The sequence below is a fragment of the Homo sapiens genome, chromosome 2, assembly GCF_000001405.40.
Source record: "Homo sapiens chromosome 2, GRCh38.p14 Primary Assembly".
In the NCBI taxonomy this organism is placed as follows: Eukaryota; Metazoa; Chordata; class Mammalia; order Primates; family Hominidae; genus Homo; species Homo sapiens.
In genome coordinates, this window is record NC_000002.12 from 88,740,360 (window position 1) to 88,759,291 (window position 18,932).

Genomic DNA, 18,932 nt, shown 5'->3' on the forward strand with positions numbered 1-18,932 from the left:
AAAGAGGCTAGCTATTAAATCATATAATGTGATATCTACAGGACAATCAGAGTGGTTTGCTGTATCTTTTCTCATTTTTTCTTTTCCTGATTGAGTCCATTAGATTCACGGCTGGACCAGTATCAGGAGAATAGAAGTAGGGCGAGTTTCCCTGTTTATCTCTGTTACCATGTGCATTCGTACACAGTATGTGAGGACGCTTAGAAAACAACTCCCTTTGATGTTTTGTTGTGTTCCACCCAGAGCAGAGTGACTGAATTGAAGGGCCAGGGCTACTGGAGTTCTTTCCCCTAGGTTCACATTTAGCATCCTCTGCTCTTTCCACTATATTTTATCGGGGAGTTGGGGGAGGTCAGTCACACCCAGCATCTCAGTAATTGAAAGAGAAGTTGCTCTAAAGTCTTACCTTAGACTGCTGCCCATTCATCTCTGCTCTTTCTTTAAAGCCTTTTCTGAACCTGATTTAACTGTTTTTTGGATCAGTGGATGCTTTCTCCTTATATTGCAGACATTTTGAAAACGGGTCTTGAGTGGCTACTTTGCTCATCTTTGGAAGGATCCAGTTGCATAGGCACAGTTTGGTGCCAGGGACCTTTATTTGTGTTCAGCAACTCTTTGCTCTGCCTGTTGGCTTTTCGTCACTCGATCACTACTCCGTTTCATTTGTTTATTGGGAGCTGTCTTTGGGAGTTTTTTTTTAATTTTTAAAATTATTTCAATAGTTGTTGGGAAACAGGTGATGTTTGGCTACATGGATAAGTTCTTGAGTGGTGATTTCTGAGATTTTGTTGCACCCATTACCCAAGCAGCGTACACTGTACCCAATGCATAGTCTTTTCTCCCTTGTCCCACTCTCACCCTTTCCCCTGAGTCCCCAGAGTCTGTTGTATCATTCTTACACCTTTGCGTCCTCATAGCTTAGCTCCCAGTTATAAGTGAGAACATACGATGTTTGGGTTTCCATCTCTGAGTTACTTCACTTAGAATTATGGTCTCCAACTCCATCCAGGTTGCTGTGAATGCCATTATTTCATTCCTTTTTATGGCTGAGTAGTATTCCATGGTGTGTGTGTGTATGTGTATATATATCACATTTTCTTTATCCACTCATTGGTTGATAGGCATTTAGGCTGGTTCCATATTGTTGAAATTGCAAGTTGTTTTGCTATCAACATGTGTGTACAAATGTCCTTTTCATATAATGACTTCTTTTCCTCTGGGTAGATACCCAGTAGTGGTTTTGCTGGATCAAATAAATGGTAGTTCTACTTTTGAGTTTTTTAAGGAATCTTCACACTGTTTTCCACAGTGGTTGTACTAGTTTACATTCCCACCAGCAGTGTGAAAGTATTCCCTTTTCACTGCATCCATGCCAACATCTATTATTTTTTTATTCTTGCGGGAGTAAGGTGGTATTGCATTGTGGTTTTGATTTGCATTTCCCTGATCATTAGTGATGTTGAGCATTTTTTCATATGTTTGTTGGCCATTTGTATATCTTCTTTTGAGAATTGTCTATTCATGTCCTTGGCCCACTTTTTGATGGGATTTTTTTTCTTGCTAATTTGAGTTCCTTATATATTCTAGATATTAGTCCTTTTTCAGTTGTATAGATTGTGGAGATTTTCTCCCACTCTGTGGGTTGACTGTTTACTCTGCTGACTGTTCCTTTTGTTGTGCAGAAGCTCTCTATTTTAATTAAGTTCCACCTACTTATCTTTGTTTTTGTTCCATTTGCTTTTGGGTTCTTCGTCATGAAATCTTTGCCTAAGCCAGTGTCTAGAAGGGATTTTTCAGTGTTGTCCTCTAGAGTTTTTATAGTTTCAAGTCTTCAATTTAAGTCTTTGATCCATCTTGATTTGATTTTTTGTATAAGAGATGAGAATCCAGTTTCATTCTTCTATATGTGGCTTGTCAGTTATCCCAGCACCATTTGTTGAATAGGGTGTCCTTTCCCCCTTGATATTTTTGTTTGCTTTGTTGAAGATCAGTTGGCTGTAAGTATTTGGCTTTATTTCTGGCTTCTCTATTCTATTCCATTGGTCTATATGCCTGTTTTTATACCAGTACCATGCTGTTTGGTGACCATGACCTTATAGTGTAGTTTGAAGTCAGGTAATGTACTGCTGCCAGATTTGTTCTTTTTGCTTAGTCTTGCTTTGGCTATGTGGGCTCTTTGCTTTTCCATATGAATTTTAGGATTTTTTTTCTAGTTCTGTGAAGAATGATGGCGGTATTTCGATGGGAATGGCATTGCATTTGTAGAATGCGTTTGGCAGTATATGGTCATTTTCACAATACTGATTCTACCCATCCATGAGCATGGGATGTGTCCCATTTGTGTTGTCTGTGGTTTTTTTCAGCAGTATTTTGTAGTTTTCCTTGTAGAGATCTTTCACCTCCTTGGTTGGGTATACTCCTAAGTATTTTATTTTTTTTGCAGTTGTCATAAAAGGGGTTGAGTTCTTGATTTGATTCTCTACATGGTTGCTGTTGGTGTATAGCAGTGCCACTGATTTGTGCACATTGATTTTTGTATCCTGAAACTTTACGGAATTCATTTATCAGATCTAAGAGCTTTTTGGATGAGTCCTGAGGGTTTTCTAGGTATATGATCATATTATTAGTGAACAGCAACCGTTTGACTTCCTCTTTACTGATTTGGATGCCCTTTGTCTTGTCTGATTGCTCTGGCTAGGGCTTCAATAGTATGTTGGATACTGGGTATGTGAAACGGGGTATCCTTGTCTTGTTCCAGTTCTCAGGGGGAATGCTTTCAACTTTTCCCCTTTCAGTATAATACTGGCTGTAGGTTTGTCATAGGTGGCTTTTATTACCTTTAGGTATGTCCCTTCTATGTTGATTTTGCTGAGGGTTTTAATAATAAAGCAATGCTGGATTTTGATAGATGCTTTTTCTGCATCTATTGAGATGATCGTATGATTTTTGTTTTAGATTGTTTATGTGGTGTGTCACATTTGTTGACTTGCATATGTTAAACCATCCCTGCATCCCTGGTATGAAACGCACTCGATCATGGTGTATTATCTTTTTGATATGCTGTTGGATTTGGCTAGCTAGTATTTTGTTGAGTATTTTTGCATTTATGTTCATCAGGGATATTGGTCTGTAGTTTTCTTTTTTTGTTATGATCTTTCCTGGTTTTGGTATTAGGGTAATACTGGCTTCATAGAATGATTTAGAGAGGATTCCCTTTTTTTCCCATCTTTTGGAATAGTTTCAGTAGGATTGCTACCAATTCTTTGAATGTCTGATAGAATTCAGCTGTGAATCCATTTGGTTCTGGACTTTTTTTGTTGGCAGTTTTTTTAATTACTGTTTCAGTGTCGCTGCTTGTTATTGATTTGTTCATAGTTTCTGTTTCTTCCTGCTTTAATCTAAGAGGCTTGTATATTTCCAGATTTTCTAGTTCATGCACATACAGGTGTTCATAGTAGCCTTGAATGATCTTTTGTATTTCTGTGGTATTGGTTGCAGTATCTCCCATTTCATTTGTAATTGAGCTTATTTGGATCTTCTCTCTTCTTTTCTTGGTTAATCTCACTAATGGTCTATCGATTTTATCTTTTCAAAGAACCAGGTTTTTGTTTCATTTATCTTTTTTGTATTTTTTGTTTCAATTTCATTTAGTTCTGCTCTTATCTTAGTTATTTCTTTTCTTCTGTTGGGTTTGAGTGTGGTTTGTTCTTGTTTCTCTAGTTCCTTGAAGTGTAACCTCAGATTATCTGTACTCTTTCAGAGTTTTTGGTTTAGGCATTTAAGGCTATGAGCTTTCCTCTTAGCACTGCTTTTGCTGTATCCCAGAGGTTTTGATAGGTTGTATCACTATTATTATTCAGTTCAAATAATTTTTAAATTTCCATCTTGATTTCATTGTTGACCCAGAGATCATTCAGGAGCAGATTATTTAATTTCCATGTATTTGTATAGTTTTGAGGGTTCCTTTTGGAGTTGATTTCCAATTTTATTCCACTGTGATCTGTGAGAGTACTTGATATAATTTAGATTTTTTAAAATTTATTGAGACTTGTTTTGTAGCCTGTCATGTTGGAGAATGTTCCAGGCTGAAGAAAAGAATATATATTCTGTACTTCTTAGGCGGAAAGTTCTATAGATATCTGTTAAGTCCATTTGCTCCAGAGTATAGTTTAATTTCATTGTTTCTTTGTTGACTTTCTGTCTTGATGACCTGTCTAGTGCTGTCAGTGGAGTACTTAAGTCTCCCACTATTATTGTATTGCCATCTATCTCATTTCTTAGGTCTAGTAGTAACAGTTTTATAAATTTGCGAGCTTTAGTATTAGGTGCATATATATTTAGAATTGTGATATTTTCCTGTTGGACTAATCCTTGTATCATTATATAATGTTCCTCTTTGTCTTTTCTAACTTGTTGCTTTAAAGTCTATTTTGTCTCATAGAAGAATAGCTACTCCTGCTTGCTTTTGGTTTCTGTTTGTGTGGAGTATCTTTTCCCACCCCTTTACAGTAAGTTTATGTGAATCCTTATGTGTTAGGTGAGTCTCTTGAAGACAACAGATACATGGTTGGTGGATTTTTATGCATTCTGCCATTGTGTATCTTTTTATTTTTTTGAGACAGAGTTTCACTCTTGTTGCCCAGGCTGGAGTGCAATGGCATGTTCTTGGCTCACTGCAACCTTCACCTCTCAGGTTCAGGCAATTCTCCTGCCTCACCCTCCTGAGTAGCTGGGATTACAGGTGCCCGCCACCATGACTGGCTAATTTTTTTGTGGTTTTAGTAGAGACGGGGTTTCACCATATTGGCCAGGCTGGTCTCAAACTCCTGACCTCAGGTGATCTGCCTGCCTTGGCCGCCCACCAAGCCTGGCCCATTGTGTACCTTTTAAGTAGAGCATTTAGGCAGTTTACATTCAGCGTTAATATTGAGATATGAGGTATTATTTTATTCATCATGGTAGTTGTCTCCTGGATACCTTGTTTTTTTGCACTGTGATATTGTTTCATAGGTCCTGTGAAATTTATGCTTTAAGGAGGTTCTATTTAGGTGTATTGTGAGTTTTGTATCAAGATTTAGAACTCATTTTAGCATTTCTTGTAGGACTGGCTTGGTAGTGGCGAATTCTCTCAGCATTTGTTTGTCTGAAAATGACTGTATCTCTTCCTTATTTATGAAGCTTAGTTTTGCTGGATACAAAATTCTTGGCTGATAATTAATTTGTTTAAGGAGGCTAAAGATAAGACCCCAATCCCTTCTGGCTTGTAGGGCTTCTGCTGAGAAATCTGCTGTTAATTTGATAGGCTTTCTTTTATAGGTTACCTAATGCTTTTGCCTGGCAGCTTTCAAGATTCTTTCCTTTGTCTTACTTTAGATGACCTGATGACTATATGCCTAGGTGGTGATCTTTTTGCAATGAATTTCCTGAGTGTTCTTCAAGCATTTTTATTTGGATGTCTAGATTTCCAGCAATACCAGGAAAGTTTTCCTCAATTATTCCCTCAAGTAAGCTTTCCAAACTTTTTGATTTCTCTCCTCTCCTTCCTCAGGAACATCAGTTATTCTTATGTTTGATTGTTTAACATAATCCCAAATTTCTTGGAGGCTTTGTTCATTTTTTTGATTCTTTTTTTCTTTGTCTTTCTTGGATTAGGTTAATTTGAAAGCCTTGTCTTCGAGCTCTGAAGTTCTTTTTTTCTACTCGTTCTAATCTGTTGTTGAAATTTCCCAGTGTATTTTGCATTTCTAAAATGTGTCTTTCATTTCCAGAAGTTTGATTATCTTTTCTTTATGATATCTGTTTCTCTGGAGTCCTTTTAAATTTTCTTTAAGTTGGTTTTCACCTTTCTCTGGTACCTCCTTGAGTAGCTTAATAATCAACCTTCTGAATTCTTTATCTGGCAATTCAGAGATTTCTTCTTGGTTTGGCTCCGTTACTGGAGAGCTAGTGTGATCTTTGGGAGGTGCTGTAGAACCTCGTTTTGTCGTATTACCAGAATTTGTTTTCTAGTTCCTTCTCATTTGAGTAGACTGTTTCATTGGAAAGATCTGGAACCCAAGGGCTGCTGTTCAGATTCTTTTGTCCAATGGGGTGATCCCTTGATGGGGTGTTCTTCGCCTTCCCCTAAGGATGAGGATTCTTGAGAGCTGGACTGCAGTGGTTATGCCCTTCTGGGGTTAGCCACCCAGTGCGGCTACTGGGCTCCAGGCTGGTATTGGGGAATGTCTGCAGAAAGTCCTGTGATGTGATCTGTCTTTAGGTCCCCGAGCTGTGGATACCAGCACCTGCTTCGGTGGAGGTGGCAGGAGAGTGAAGTGGACTCTGTGGGAGTCCCTGGTTGTATTTTTGTTTAGTGCACTGGTTTTCTTGAATGCTGGTTTATGCTAGCAGTGAAGTTGCCATGTGGACAGACTCAGGATCTCTGGTTAGCCAGGATGTTGCAGGCGGTGGAATTAGCTGTTGTTTTTCCCTTTTTGGAGCAGGGTTGTTCTGTTACGAGTTTCTGTAGTGGCTTGAGTTGGTTGGCCTTCAGCGAGGAGGTGGTGCTTTCAAGAAAGCATCAGCTGTAGTAGTATAGGGGGGATACAAGCTTGTCTATGTAGGCCAGGATAAGTATTTTGGTTTCTTAGGTAATGGGCAGGGCCATAGAGCTCCCAAGAGTTTATGTCTTTTGTCTTTGGCTACCAGGGCAGGTAGAGAAAAACCATCAGGTTAGGGCAGAGTTAGGTGGGTCTGAGTCAGACTTTCCTTGGGCAGGGCTTGCTGTGGCCACTGTGTGGGGTTGGGGAGTGGTTCTCAGGTCAATGGAGTTATGTTCCCAGGGGGATTATGGCTGCCTCTTCTGCGTCATACAGGCTGCCAGGGAAGTAGGAGAAAGCCGGCAGTGACAGACCCCCACCCAGCTGCCACACAGCCAGCAAGGCCAGTTTCACTCCCGCCATGCCCCACCATGGTGAGCAGGGCTGAGATCTTGCCCCAGACTACAGGCCTCCCTACTGAGAAAGCAAGCAGGCCTCTCAGGCCTCGCCCCTCCCTGCCTGCCTGCACCTTCGGCTGTGGGTTCTTCATTTGTATCTGCACTTCCCATTTGTCCCCCACCGGATTCTGCTCAGGAAAATTTGTGCTCAGTTGAAATTATTACGAAGTTCAGCTAGAAGCTTCCTTCATCCTGTGGCCCCTCCCCAGTTCTGCTGGCTGCCTTTTTTTCCCGAAGGACCCCTGTGAGATAAAGCCAGGGATGGCTTCCCTGGGCTCAAGCTGGGGACTGGAAGTGTCTACAGGGCTCTTCCTGCTGCTGCTTCTACTTTTATAGTTTGCTCAGCTCTCTAAATCCATTTCAGCTCTAGGTAAGATTAAATCCGTCTCCTGTGATCTGGATTTTTCAGGTTCCCCGGTGGGGATGTATGTTCAGAGGCAGACTTTTCCCCCTCTCACACTTTGGGAACTCACAGTTTTTTGGCTGTCTTATGGAGTTTGCAGCAGCAAGCCACTTCTTTCAAAGGGTCTGTGAATTCTTTTGGTTTTCCTGGTATGTTCCTGTGGTGGTTCTTGGAGCAAAAGTTCACAATGTGTGTCTCCACACACTGTTCTGTCTGTCCAAGTGGGTGCTGCACATTAATCCTGTCTTCTATTGCCATTTTCCTGCAAGTTTTCATTGTATTTATCCTTTTGAATTTGTGTAGTTTAAAATTATGAGTTAAACAGTGGCAAGTCCTCTTTGCCACTTTTCCAACCAACTAGTTACCCTATCTGGAGGCAGCCAGTGTTACCAAAATTGTGTGGCCTTTGAGATAGACTTTCATAAACACACAAATTGCAACTCCTCCCGCCCCACCCCTTTTTACACTAGCGGTAGCCTGCTTTATACATGTTCTGTTTCCTGCCTTGCCTGTCTTGGAGATTATTACACATTGGCTTATAAAAGAGCTTCCTTGTTCCTTTTTTTTCTGAATACCTGCATGTATTCCACTTTACCTATGTAACATTATGACTTAACTGGATCACCACTAGTGGTCATTTATGTTTGCAGATTTTTGCTAGCAGGGAATCACTGGATGAAAGGATTAATGTGTCTGTGATTTTTGTTAGATGGTTTCAGATTGCCGTCTGTAGCTTGTATTCACTTAGCCTTCTACCAACAGTGTGTGCAGGTATCTGTTTCCCTGCATACCTGGTCCATTATACCTTTTCTCTTACAGTTAAAGTGTTATGTCATTGAAGTATGTGTGAGTATATGTAAATATTCTTGGTAAAGGTTGTGTGTAGTTGTTAATTTTCACTGCTGAATCATATTCCATCATCTGTATGTGTGTGAAAAAAAGTTTATATCTATTCTACTCTTTTAGTTTTTTCTCTTTCTTTCTTTTTTTGGAGACAGGATCTTGCTCTGTCACCCAGGCTGTAGTACAGTGGCATAATCATGGCTCACTGCAACCTCTGCTCCTGGGCTCAGGCGATTCTCCCACCTCAGCCTCCTGAGTAGCTGGGACTGCAGGCATGTGCCAGCATGCTTGGCTAATTTTTGTATTTTTTGTAGAGCTGCCATCTCTATGTTATGTTTCCCAGGCTGGTCTCGAACTCCTGGGCTCCATCAGCTCCATCTGGAGCTCCATTGAACTCCTGGGCTTCATTCCCAAAGTGCTGGGATTATAGGCATGAGCCACCATACCCAGCCTCTATTCTACTCTTGATGGACATTTGGGTATTATCAGTTTTTAGCTAATAGGAAAAGTGCCACTATCAACATCTTACACATGTCTTTTGATGACCAAATGTATGCCTAACAGTTGTATATCTAGGAGTAGAATTGCTGAGTGGTTAGGTGTGAATCCATCAGCTTGGAAGATGAACATTTCCAAAGTGCTTTTGCCAGCTCAGCTTTCACCATCAATGCGTATGAGTGTCTTTGCATCCCAGCAGAATTTCATTACACTGACTTCAGTGTGTGTGTAGTGATATCTTGTAATATTAATTTGTATTTCCTTTCAGTGAATGATTTTGAGCATCTTTTAAAATGTTTATTGGCCATTTTGGGTAGCTTCTTTTGTGAGGTACTTCTTCAAGTCTTTTGCCCATTTTTCTATGGGGATTCTGTCTTTTTCTTGATGATTTATAAATTGTTTATATTTTTGATATGAGTCCTTTGTCAGGTATATGCTTTGCAAATATCTCCTCCCATTCCGAGGAAATCTTTCAAGGCTGGTGGTATGATTGAAAATAACTGGTAGTGGGGCTCCTTGGCTGGAGTAGTCATGGAGGGTCTCTAGAGGATGACTTGCCATCTGATATGTCTGAAGGACAGAGCTGAGCCAGCCCCTTGAAGTGCTTGACAATGACTGGCTCAGGCAGAGGGAACAGCATGAACAAAGGCCTCAGGGCAGGACAAAGCTTAGCATGTTTGGGTACAGAAAGAAGGCCAAAGTGGGAGGGGAGAAAGAGGTGGCAAGAAGAAATTAAGATAATCAGAATCTCTTTTCATTGCTCTGTGGGAGAAAAAGGCTTTAGATTTGTCATTCGTCCAATGCTGTGTATGACAGTTGCTTCTAGTGACCCTGCAGTCTTTGAGTCTCTTTTTGCTTTGGGAGGCTGAAACAATGTTTCTTTCTGTCCTTTGTCCTGCAGGTGTGGTGGACACAGGCCTATTCATCAACATGGCTGAGAGAGTCTACTTTGGGATGCAGGATGGCTCAGTGAACATGAGGGAGAAGCCTTTCTGTTGACCCTGCAAGGAGCAGAGTGTGTTCACCTTGAGTCTCCAGCCCACAGCCAAGGTGGACGTACCTCTCCAGGAGCCTTTGCCTTAATGTATCTCTGCCTGGACAACTTGTGGTGGGGGGTGGGGGGAAGAGTGGGAGGGGGAGTTAAATCCAGTCTTATGAAGTATTGTTATTAAATGTCTTTTTAAAAAGAGAAATATAAACATATATTTTTACTATTAAAATATTCAGTTTTTTAAATGAAGTAGAACTTGAGTTCATGTTTTATATGAAATATTTACCAAAAAAAAAAAATGAGGTAAACTGTATTTAAAACCTTTGACTTGAGTCTGCTGGTAAAGCTTCTGAATATTGAGTTTGCTGAGAAATAAAAATCAAAACTTCTTTAAGCTGGTAAAGTGAGGGGCCCACCAGCAGTGATCTCCTGATGCCTTACTGGAAACTTTGTTTACTTGTCTGCTACCCTCTGATTTGTTTTTAGTTAGTTTTTATTGTGAGCACACATAGTACCTAGTTACATCTTAAGATCAGGTTTATAAAACTGTGGAGTGGAGCGGTATGGTATGGAATGACTTGGAATGTAAGCTGTCAGGGAGAAAATGTTGTTACACTTTTGCTAAGATCTGGGGGTTTCTTCATATTCCTGCTGTTGGAAGCAGTTGACCAGAAATGCTTGCCAGTACTGCCAAAGCACTGCTGTGAAATGTGAAGTACTTTGTTTTTTTATTTTTAATGATTTTCTTTTTGTTATTAATATTTTTCTCTGTTCCTTTGTTATTACTTGCATGGTTTGGCGTCAGAAGTCCTTACCTCTTTATATTGTTTGCAGGTTTAAATAAAACAGTGTGGTGCCATTTTGACTCTTTTGTCTTTATTGTAGAATTTAAATTTAAATGGCCACAGAAGGAAAGCCAAGATGGGAGAGGAATCAGTTTTGCCCACCCAGCGTACATCAGATCTGTGATAAGGGGTAGAATTCACTCAAGAAATCTTGAACCAAAGAATAGGTAAATACTTTCATTATTTCTGGGAGAGCTATCTTCCAGATATGTCAGTTATCTAAGGAAATATGCCATAGCCCTTTGTCAGGCAAGGTATTAATTTTCTTCATGCATGAAGGGTAACACAGATGAACAAAAGTCACAAATTATCTCCACGTTTTATATTAGTCAAACCTTCTTTAGTCATGGAAGCTGATACGCAGCAAATCATATTGCTGCATTTCCTCATTAGCACCCCCAACCTGAATTTCCTCATTAGCACCCCCAACTCTGTAATCTGCAGACAGTCTGCTTAATAAACAGTTAGCTCTCCAGAAAAGAGCCTCATAACAGGGAAAGGAAAGGCCTGACCAGCTCAGTGAGCATTCTAGACAAGGCTCAAAGGAATCCATCCTGCTGTTAAAGGGTCTTGATGCTGAGAACTCTGATTTCCCCTTGCTAACTTTGCACAATACTTGGAACAGTCATTTCCCTCATTTTACTGTCTATTTTGATGCTTGGATAATAATGATCAGACATGTTGGCATCTAAATTCTTGCTAAATCAAGTTGTAGAATAAAAGTTAATCAGGAGAGAAGGCATTAAAGATGCTTATTTCTTTCAGAATTCCCTCTTCACTCTGGAGGTGCTCTTTAAAAATAGTTGCCTCACATATTGTTAGGAAGCCTATTGTTAGGAATACTTTATTTTCTTTTAATTTGGGTTATAATTTTTGCACAAAACGGGCACTACATCTTAGCTGAGATCTTGATAGAACTAATTTTTGACATAATCCTTTGAAGCTCTTGTGGCATTGATTAAATTTAGGAATAAAGATAAACAACAAAGTTAAGCTGAATTTCTGAAAAACACCTGCATGCACCACATCACATGTAAATGTTCTGTGGGTTTCACAGGCATTCGCACCTGTGATGGATCTGTAGTTTCTTTGAATGTCGATGTTAGGGTTTTCTTCTCTTGAAGAAAACAAAACACCTGCTATGCTTTAGGCACACATACAGCAAGGTACATTTTGACTAAAGAGTCTTCATTAAAGCTCATTAAATGTGATCTTTCTGGGGAGTTAGATGGAATAAATTAGATGGAAAAAACAATTTTTTTCCTGTGACCCACATGCCAGTACATGTGATTAATGATGAATCTCAGGGGCAAGGGTGAGCTGTAAGTTTGGTTTTTGGGAAACGGTTATAACGAAGGTAAGCAGTCACAATTCTGGAAGGTATCAAAGGAGGAAAATCACTCTGATTTGAATAAAATCTATTCAGTTTGGTTTCAGCTACAACCTCTCATTAAGTTTTTATATTCTTCATTGATCAGACTGTTTGAGCTCCCATCATGGGCCAGTTCGGGAGAGGGTGGGACACAGATGAGTAAGATCCTCCTGTGCTCCAGAGGCTTCCAGCCTGGTGAGCCTGACAGGCACCTTGACAGAAGAATGATGTAGTGGAGGAACATGGTGGGCAGGTGGGCAAGAGATGAGTCATGGGTGGGGAAAGTGGCTGACAGGTGACTCTGGCAACAGCTTCCTATGTGGAGTCTTTGCTGGCTTTGACTCCATTAAAGTGCTTCTAATTAAAGTTAAATAAGCTGTCAGTTTACAGAGGAGAAAGAGGCCTGAATAGCCTAAGTCACTTGTCACAGACAGAGCTGGCTAGTTAGCCAGCCCTGGAACCCCTGGTCTTCAGGTTGGGGGTTTTGTAGTATCTGGGAGGATATTCTTATGTTAGTCTCAAGAAGTGCCAGAGATGGCGTGTTGTGACTTTTTATGGGAAAATTCTAATGGAGACAGGCAAGTTCCACAAAAAAGCTAAGTTTGGAGTAATCGTTCCAAGAAGCTACCTTTTATTTCAGGGACTGGGCTTTGCTTTGATGTACTATTTTTATTGAACTATTATATTTCAGTAGTTTCAAATTTTATCCTAAAGTGGCAAGGAGGGGAAGCAGGGAGCTATCATATTTGAACCTGAATGTGTGCCAGGCACTATTTGGGTTTTTGCCCTGTTAGCTTATGGCATCTTTATGGTGTTTGTTCTTATAATTTGCTGAGTGAGAAACTGAGGCTTAGTTTAAGTAACTTGTTCAGGTCACCCACTGGAAAGTGGACCAGACTTCTCTGGCTCTAGGCCTTGTTCCTACTTCAAGGTGGTTATAGGGCTTTGAATAGTTTGTGTTCCTTAATTGTGTCCATAAGTTGTAACTTGCGTGACAAGTAATTTGTTAAAGTACTGGAGTTAGTGAATGGTTGGGTTGTGTGTGTAGGCTCATGGTTAATCCTATAATAATCCATTTCTGTCTTCTGCTACGCTTTCTTTGGTAGGAGGAAGGAGGAGAACATTGCATATAGCCTCGGGTGGGCCACAAGAAAGTGCCCTTTGTAGAAGTCATCTTTATTTGTCACTCTGGAATGGAACTTGACAACCATTGATTTCTCTCTCTCGTTATCTGTTTCCTTTTTTCCTCCTTTCTACCTATGATTTAGGCACAGTGGCTACCAGAGGCACTGCTAGCCTGTGAAGGGGCATTTATGGCTGAGGACTGTTAATTCCTTTTAGCCAAAGACCATTCAGGAACACAGACACAGTTGAACAAAGTTGGATTTATTTACCCATTGAATAAGGGAAATCACACGCCATGGGAAGCTGCAGTTATCTCAGCATTAGGACTTAGAGGGTTTAGGCCCAAGGAAGCAGAGCTTAGCTCTGGATTGGATACCTTCAGGAAGCAGGGCTACTTCTATAACTGGATATCTTTAACAATTCTTACCTAGAAAGTAAGAAGAATGGAGTGAACCTAAAGCTACCATTGGTAAAGAAGGGGCAGTTACTCATTAATGATGTTGGGCAATTTTTGTGATGTGGACAATATGTTTTGTCTGTGCGATTATAGTCTTGGTTTTGTCTTCATCATGGTCACGGAGTGGCCTTGTCTGATGTTGATACTGGTGAAATTGTGTTTCACATGAGAACATCATGGCCTGGCTGTCGGTGCCAGGCCAGCTTGTAGCAACACTAAGGCCTGACTGATAGAGCCAGGCCAGCTCCCAGCCATCTGGGGCAACATCTCTGTCTCTGAAGATATTGCAGAAGCCCCTAGGATCCAGAGGGCCTGAGCATTCTATAATCAACTCTTCCACCCTTTGACTAACTGATACTGAGTTTGTCAGTTCCTTTGACTAACTGATATTGAGCAGTTGTGTGTACCTGGCACTGGGGTGCAGGAGTCAGGTCCCAGATACCCCAAGATGTCACTCCAGCCCTCAGACTTCACTGGTGCCATGACAACCATTTCTTGTGACTTGCTTCTCAGATGCCTGACTTTGCTCACTTCCTGTTGCACCTGGTAGCTGAAGCTGCCAGATTTAGGATTGCATCAGCCTTCACTCTCCACTAACACAGTAATCAGATGAGCTGAGGTTTTAAACATAGGTTCAATGCCTTTGCTTTTTTAGTAACCGGGTTGTATTGCAGGGCAGCAAAACACTCCAACATAGCTTAGTATTCAAATGTGCCCAAGTTGGCCTCAGCAAATAAACATCTGTAATGGTGTTTTGAGAGGAATGGAAGTGTGACAGTTCACGTGGCCAGTGCAGTGGAGGCAGAATCCAAAGAGGGAAGGAAAAGACTTCCCTGGAAAGGAAAGCCTGGTGTCTGTAGACAATGCATTATGTAGACAGATGAGTAAAATCATTGCTGAAGCCCCATTCTATTATGTCTAATCACTGAGAAACATCTGCTCAGCAGCAAGGTGGGAGAGGAAGCAGCTCGGAACTGAAGTCCTGGCCGGTTGCATCTCTGTCAGCCTCAATGCAGTGGCAATAATATCTCTGAATGCTCTCTGATGGCAGAGCAAATACATTTTGAGAGTACTCAGGTTTGGGGGTTTTCCAGCTTGAGTTTCAAATAGGAGAATGGCGTGCATCCTCATTTATTTCAGAAGCTGTTCTTAGTGGAGGGTGAGACCAGTTTCCAGTCACCGATGAGTTCTGAAGGCTCCAGGGCTTGGTTCTCTGGGCTTAGCTGCATCTGGCCCCTGTTCCTCTGTGCCAGTGATGCTGCCACTGGTTTCTTTGTGAACCCATGAGAAGCACTCACGAGGCAAGAGCCCACAAGGAGCTGGACCCAGAGCAGCACAGGTGTGAATAGAAACAGCACTGCCTGAGAGAAATGCCAGCCACATAATCTTAAATGTTCTGGTCTCCACACTGGAAAAGTTAAGAGAAACAGGTAAAATTAAGTTTAGTAAAATATTTTATTTAACACAAAATATCTAAAATATTACTATTTTAACACATAAGGAGTATATCATATTTTTTCTTTGTACGAAGTCTTCAAAATGCCATGTGTACTTAACTTCGGCACATCTCATTTTGAACTGACCACTTTCCAAGTGCTCCATGGTCACTCATGGCGAGTGGCTACGGCATCGGAGAGCATGGAGCTAGAATTCAAGGGGTACACGCGTAGCCCCTGTTCTGGCTTATTTAAGGCTCTGATTTCTTGGAGCAAGTCTGGAGTTCTATAGCTTTAAGATGTTTCTAGAACCCACAGAGAGTTGAGTCTAGTGGAAAGCTACCCCAGGGAGGTCCACTCAGTACCCTCAGTTTGAACTGAAACCTTCATCTGTGCTTCCAGCAGATGAGCCCTTCATTAGGCACCAAGTCACTTAGTCCTGGTTGATGGATTGCCTGCTTTGCTGTCCCCAACTGACCACCAGTCTATCTATGACCAGACCCTGAAAGGCAGGGACCAGACCATGTCACCTCCTCTAGGAAGCCACCCTTGACTACCAAGCCCCCAGCATACCTCCCTTAGGGTCACTCTCCACTTTCATTGTCTCTTTTTGTCTCTTCCCTGCCTCCTGTTGGAACTCTGAGTTCCTGCAGGCAGGACTGTGCCCTGAGGTCTCTGTCCCTGGAGTAAAGCACGGAGCCTGGCATAAAGCAAGTGCTTGGTACATGTCACTGACTCACTTGAGAAAGGAGGAGAGGGCTGCTGGACACACCACTCACTAGCTGCTCACAGCCTCAGCTTCCTGGGACAGATGCCCATGAAGGTGGCACCGCCTGCTGCCTTCTGGGCCTTTCACTGTGGCCCAGCCACAGACCAGCATTCCTGCCAGGAGCCTGAACCAAATGGTGACAGACGTGTATTTGTTTCATCCTCACCTATTTCCTGCTCCATCACCTCCCAGGCCCCAGAAATTCTCCCAGTAGGGTAGGGAGCAACCTTCCCTCAGGATTCCCCGGGAAGGCTTTTCCCACCACCCTGCCTCCTCCCTGACCCCACTGGCACCCCTTGTCATCCTGAGATGCCCCACTGCCCTGGTACATAGGACACACTACTAAAATATGTGCTGTCAGAGAGGATGGTGCTCAAATTAATACACATGCCCCTCCGTACCTCCCCCAATATCACTGGGGCAGAGAGAGAGTCCAGATGGGCAGTGTTGGGGGGAGGCTGGTGGGGGGATCTGTGAATAGTGCCGAGGTGAAAAAGCAAAGCTCAAAGAATCCAGCCTTCTTTGAAAGAGGTCTGAAGACTGGAGTCCCAGACCCATGATATTTGGCCCCTCTGGATGGGGATCCCACTGAGGCTGTATTCTGGGCCCCCGCTGGTATCTTCTAGGGACAGTTTGTGGCCAGGGGACAGGAAGTGGTGCCACAGGGAGCTAGTGCTGTGGAACGTGGTACAAGGGCTGGTCCTGTCCAATGAGGTGGGCCCTGTGTGGGGCCTGAGCAGCCATCCATTCTGGCTGAGATGGGGGAGCCTGACTAGGTGGTGACTGAGGGACAGGCTGGTCTCTTCAGGAGGCAAAGGGGGCCCGAGGCTAGGGGCTGGCTGGCAGGGATGGATGAGGCAGGGGAGGGGCTGGAAAGAGATGAGGGGGCAAAGGCCAGGGTCCTTGAGCTCCTCCGCACTAGGGCCCTTTGCCCTGAGTGTTGCCAATCTGGACAACGCTCTAGGAGCCTCTCCTGACTCCCACACATCTGCCCTGCCCAGGGGAAAGTTCTCCAGGGAGACAGCTCCTGGGAATGGCAGAGACAGCCAGCACTTCTACTGGCAAGGCTCCTTATCTGGGGCTCGCCCTGGGTCCAGTGGGTCAGACTGCCCAGGGCCTCTCTGTTAGGCTCCATGTCAGCAGCCGGTGGCTCCTTCAGGGCAGCCGTCAAGTCTGTGGACCCCTCTGGGTGGGCTGGCCTTCTGAAAGTGTGCTTGGTTGTTTGTCTTGGCCGAGTTGAGAGAGGCCACTGGTTCAGGGACGGCTGCTCATGGTCCTGCTGGACGGCCAGGGAAAGACCAGGGCTGGAAGTTCAGACAGGGGCCGGAGTGGCCAGGGATGCAGGGCCAGGCCAGGTGGTTCCCAGCATCTCTCTGCTATGTGGTGTGGGCTCCCTTGGCGGCTGGGTGCTTGCTAGGTTCTGGCAGGGGAAGACTTGGAGGGAGGCTGGGATGTTAGGAGAGAAGTGGGGGCTTCCTGCTGCCTTTTCCAGGCCTTGCCATTGTCTTTCCAGAATCAGCAGCAGCAGCTGGAAATGAGGGTCCCAGTGCCCTTTCTTTAGGGTGACCACTGTCTCCCAGCACCCCCACACTGGTCTGAGCGCTGGCAAGGCAGGGACAGCTTCATCTATATGTTTGAGCATCAGCATCGCTGCCCCTCTGTCCCTGATTCTGGGGGTGGGTGGCAGCTGCTGTGAGTTCTTATTATTCTCTGGATTGTTCAGTGGCCCCTTTCTGTTCATCCAGCCTTCCAACAACTGTGTCAACAAGTCCTTGTATTGAATGCCCTCCATATGAAGCACCTATCATGGTTTCTGTTTCTTACTGGACCATGACAGGCATGGCACCTTTACAGATTTCCTTGGCTGTTCTCCACCGCCCTCATTACGCATCAGGCTCCATAGGCAGGGGCCATGTCTGTCTTGTTTATTTTTGTATCGCCAATGCTTGGCAGAGAGAGAGTAGGTGCTCAGCTTGAATGAATACTTGGGATTTAATTTTTTGAAATGTTTTCTAGAGATAGGATCTCACTTTATTGCCTAGGTTGGCCTTAAATGCCTAGCCTCAAGCAATCCTCCCATCCAAAGTGCTGGGATTACAGGTGTGAGCCATTATGGCTTCAGTTCTTAATGCTGGTTGATAATCTGCTAAATGGAGTCACAGTCCATGAATGAGTCTCACTCACAGTTTGCCAGTCCCAGGGCTGGGGGAACTGATGGAGGCTTGGCTAACATGGTGACACCCCATCTCTACTAAAAATACAAAAAATTAGCTGGGTGTGGTGGCAGGCACCTGTAATCACAGCTACTTGAGAGGATGAAGCAGGAGAACTGCTTGAATGCAGGAGGCAGAGGTTGCAGTGAGCTGAGATTGTGCCATTGCACTCCAGCCCAGGTGACAAGAGCAAAACTCAGTCTCAAAAAAAAAAAAGAAAAAAAAATGCTCAAGTGACACACAGAAAGTGATATGGTTTGGCTGTGTCCCCACCCAAATCTCATCTTGAATTGTAACTACCACAATTCTCATATGTCATGGGAGGAACCTGGTCAGAGGTGATTGAATTATGGGGGCAGGTCTTTCCTGCACTGTTCTCTTGATAGTGAATGAGTCTCATGAGATCTGATAGTTTTAAAAATGGGAGTTTTCCCTGCACAAGATCTCTTCTCTTGTCTGCTGCCATTTGAGACATGCCTTTCACCTTCTGCCATGATTGTGAGACCTCCCCAGCCACATGGAACTGTAAGTCCGATAAACCTCTTTTGTAAATTGCCCAGTCTCAGGTATGTCTTTATCAGCACGTGAGAATGAACTAATACAGTAAATTGGTACCAGGAGTAGGGTGTTGCTGAAAAGATACCCAAAAATATGGAAGCAACTTTGGAACTGGGTAACAGGCAGAGATTGGAACAGTTTGGAGGGCTCAGAAGAAGACAGGAAAATGTGGGAAAGTTTGGAAACTCCTAGAGGCTTGATGAATGGCTTTTTGACAAAAATGCTGATAGTGATATGAACAATAAGGCCTAGGCTAAGGTAGTCTCAGATGGAGATGAGGAACTTGTTGGGAACTGGAGCAAAGGTGACTCTTGTTATGTTTTAGCAAAGAGACTGGTGGCATTTTGCCCCTGCCTTAGATATTTTGGAACTTTGAACTTGAGAGAGATGTTTTAGGGTTTCTGCTGGAAGAAATTTCTAAGCAGCAAAGCATTCAAGAGGTGACT

At 43.0% G+C, this 18,932-nt stretch overlaps 1 protein-coding gene across 1 annotated transcript in view, besides 2 other annotated features; it reads left to right on the plus strand.

Annotated features, from left to right (window-relative positions):
• The window catches only part of RPIA (ribose 5-phosphate isomerase A), a 59,257-nt gene extending 48,687 nt beyond the window's left edge, over window positions 1-10,570 (plus strand). Inside the window, exon 9 of the mRNA NM_144563.3 lies at window positions 9,622-10,570. Coding sequence (NP_653164.2) covers window positions 9,622-9,719 — 98 coding nt within the window. The 3' untranslated portion in view covers window positions 9,720-10,570. The remainder of the gene's footprint in view (window positions 1-9,621) is intronic.
• Window positions 14,014-14,153: an enhancer, noted in NCBI's record as "active region_16175". NCBI's record gives its function as "activates an Ori minimal core promoter by ATAC-STARR-seq in GM12878 lymphoblastoid cells {active_cell/tissue: GM12878}" and the evidence as "EXISTENCE:reporter gene assay evidence [ECO:0000049][PMID:35858748]".
• Window positions 14,153-14,447: a silencer, noted in NCBI's record as "tiled region #15514; HepG2 Repressive non-DNase unmatched - State 15:Elon". NCBI's record gives its function as "represses a minimal TATA promoter and a strong SV40 promoter by Sharpr-MPRA in HepG2 cells {active_cell/tissue: HepG2}" and the evidence as "EXISTENCE:reporter gene assay evidence [ECO:0000049][PMID:27701403]".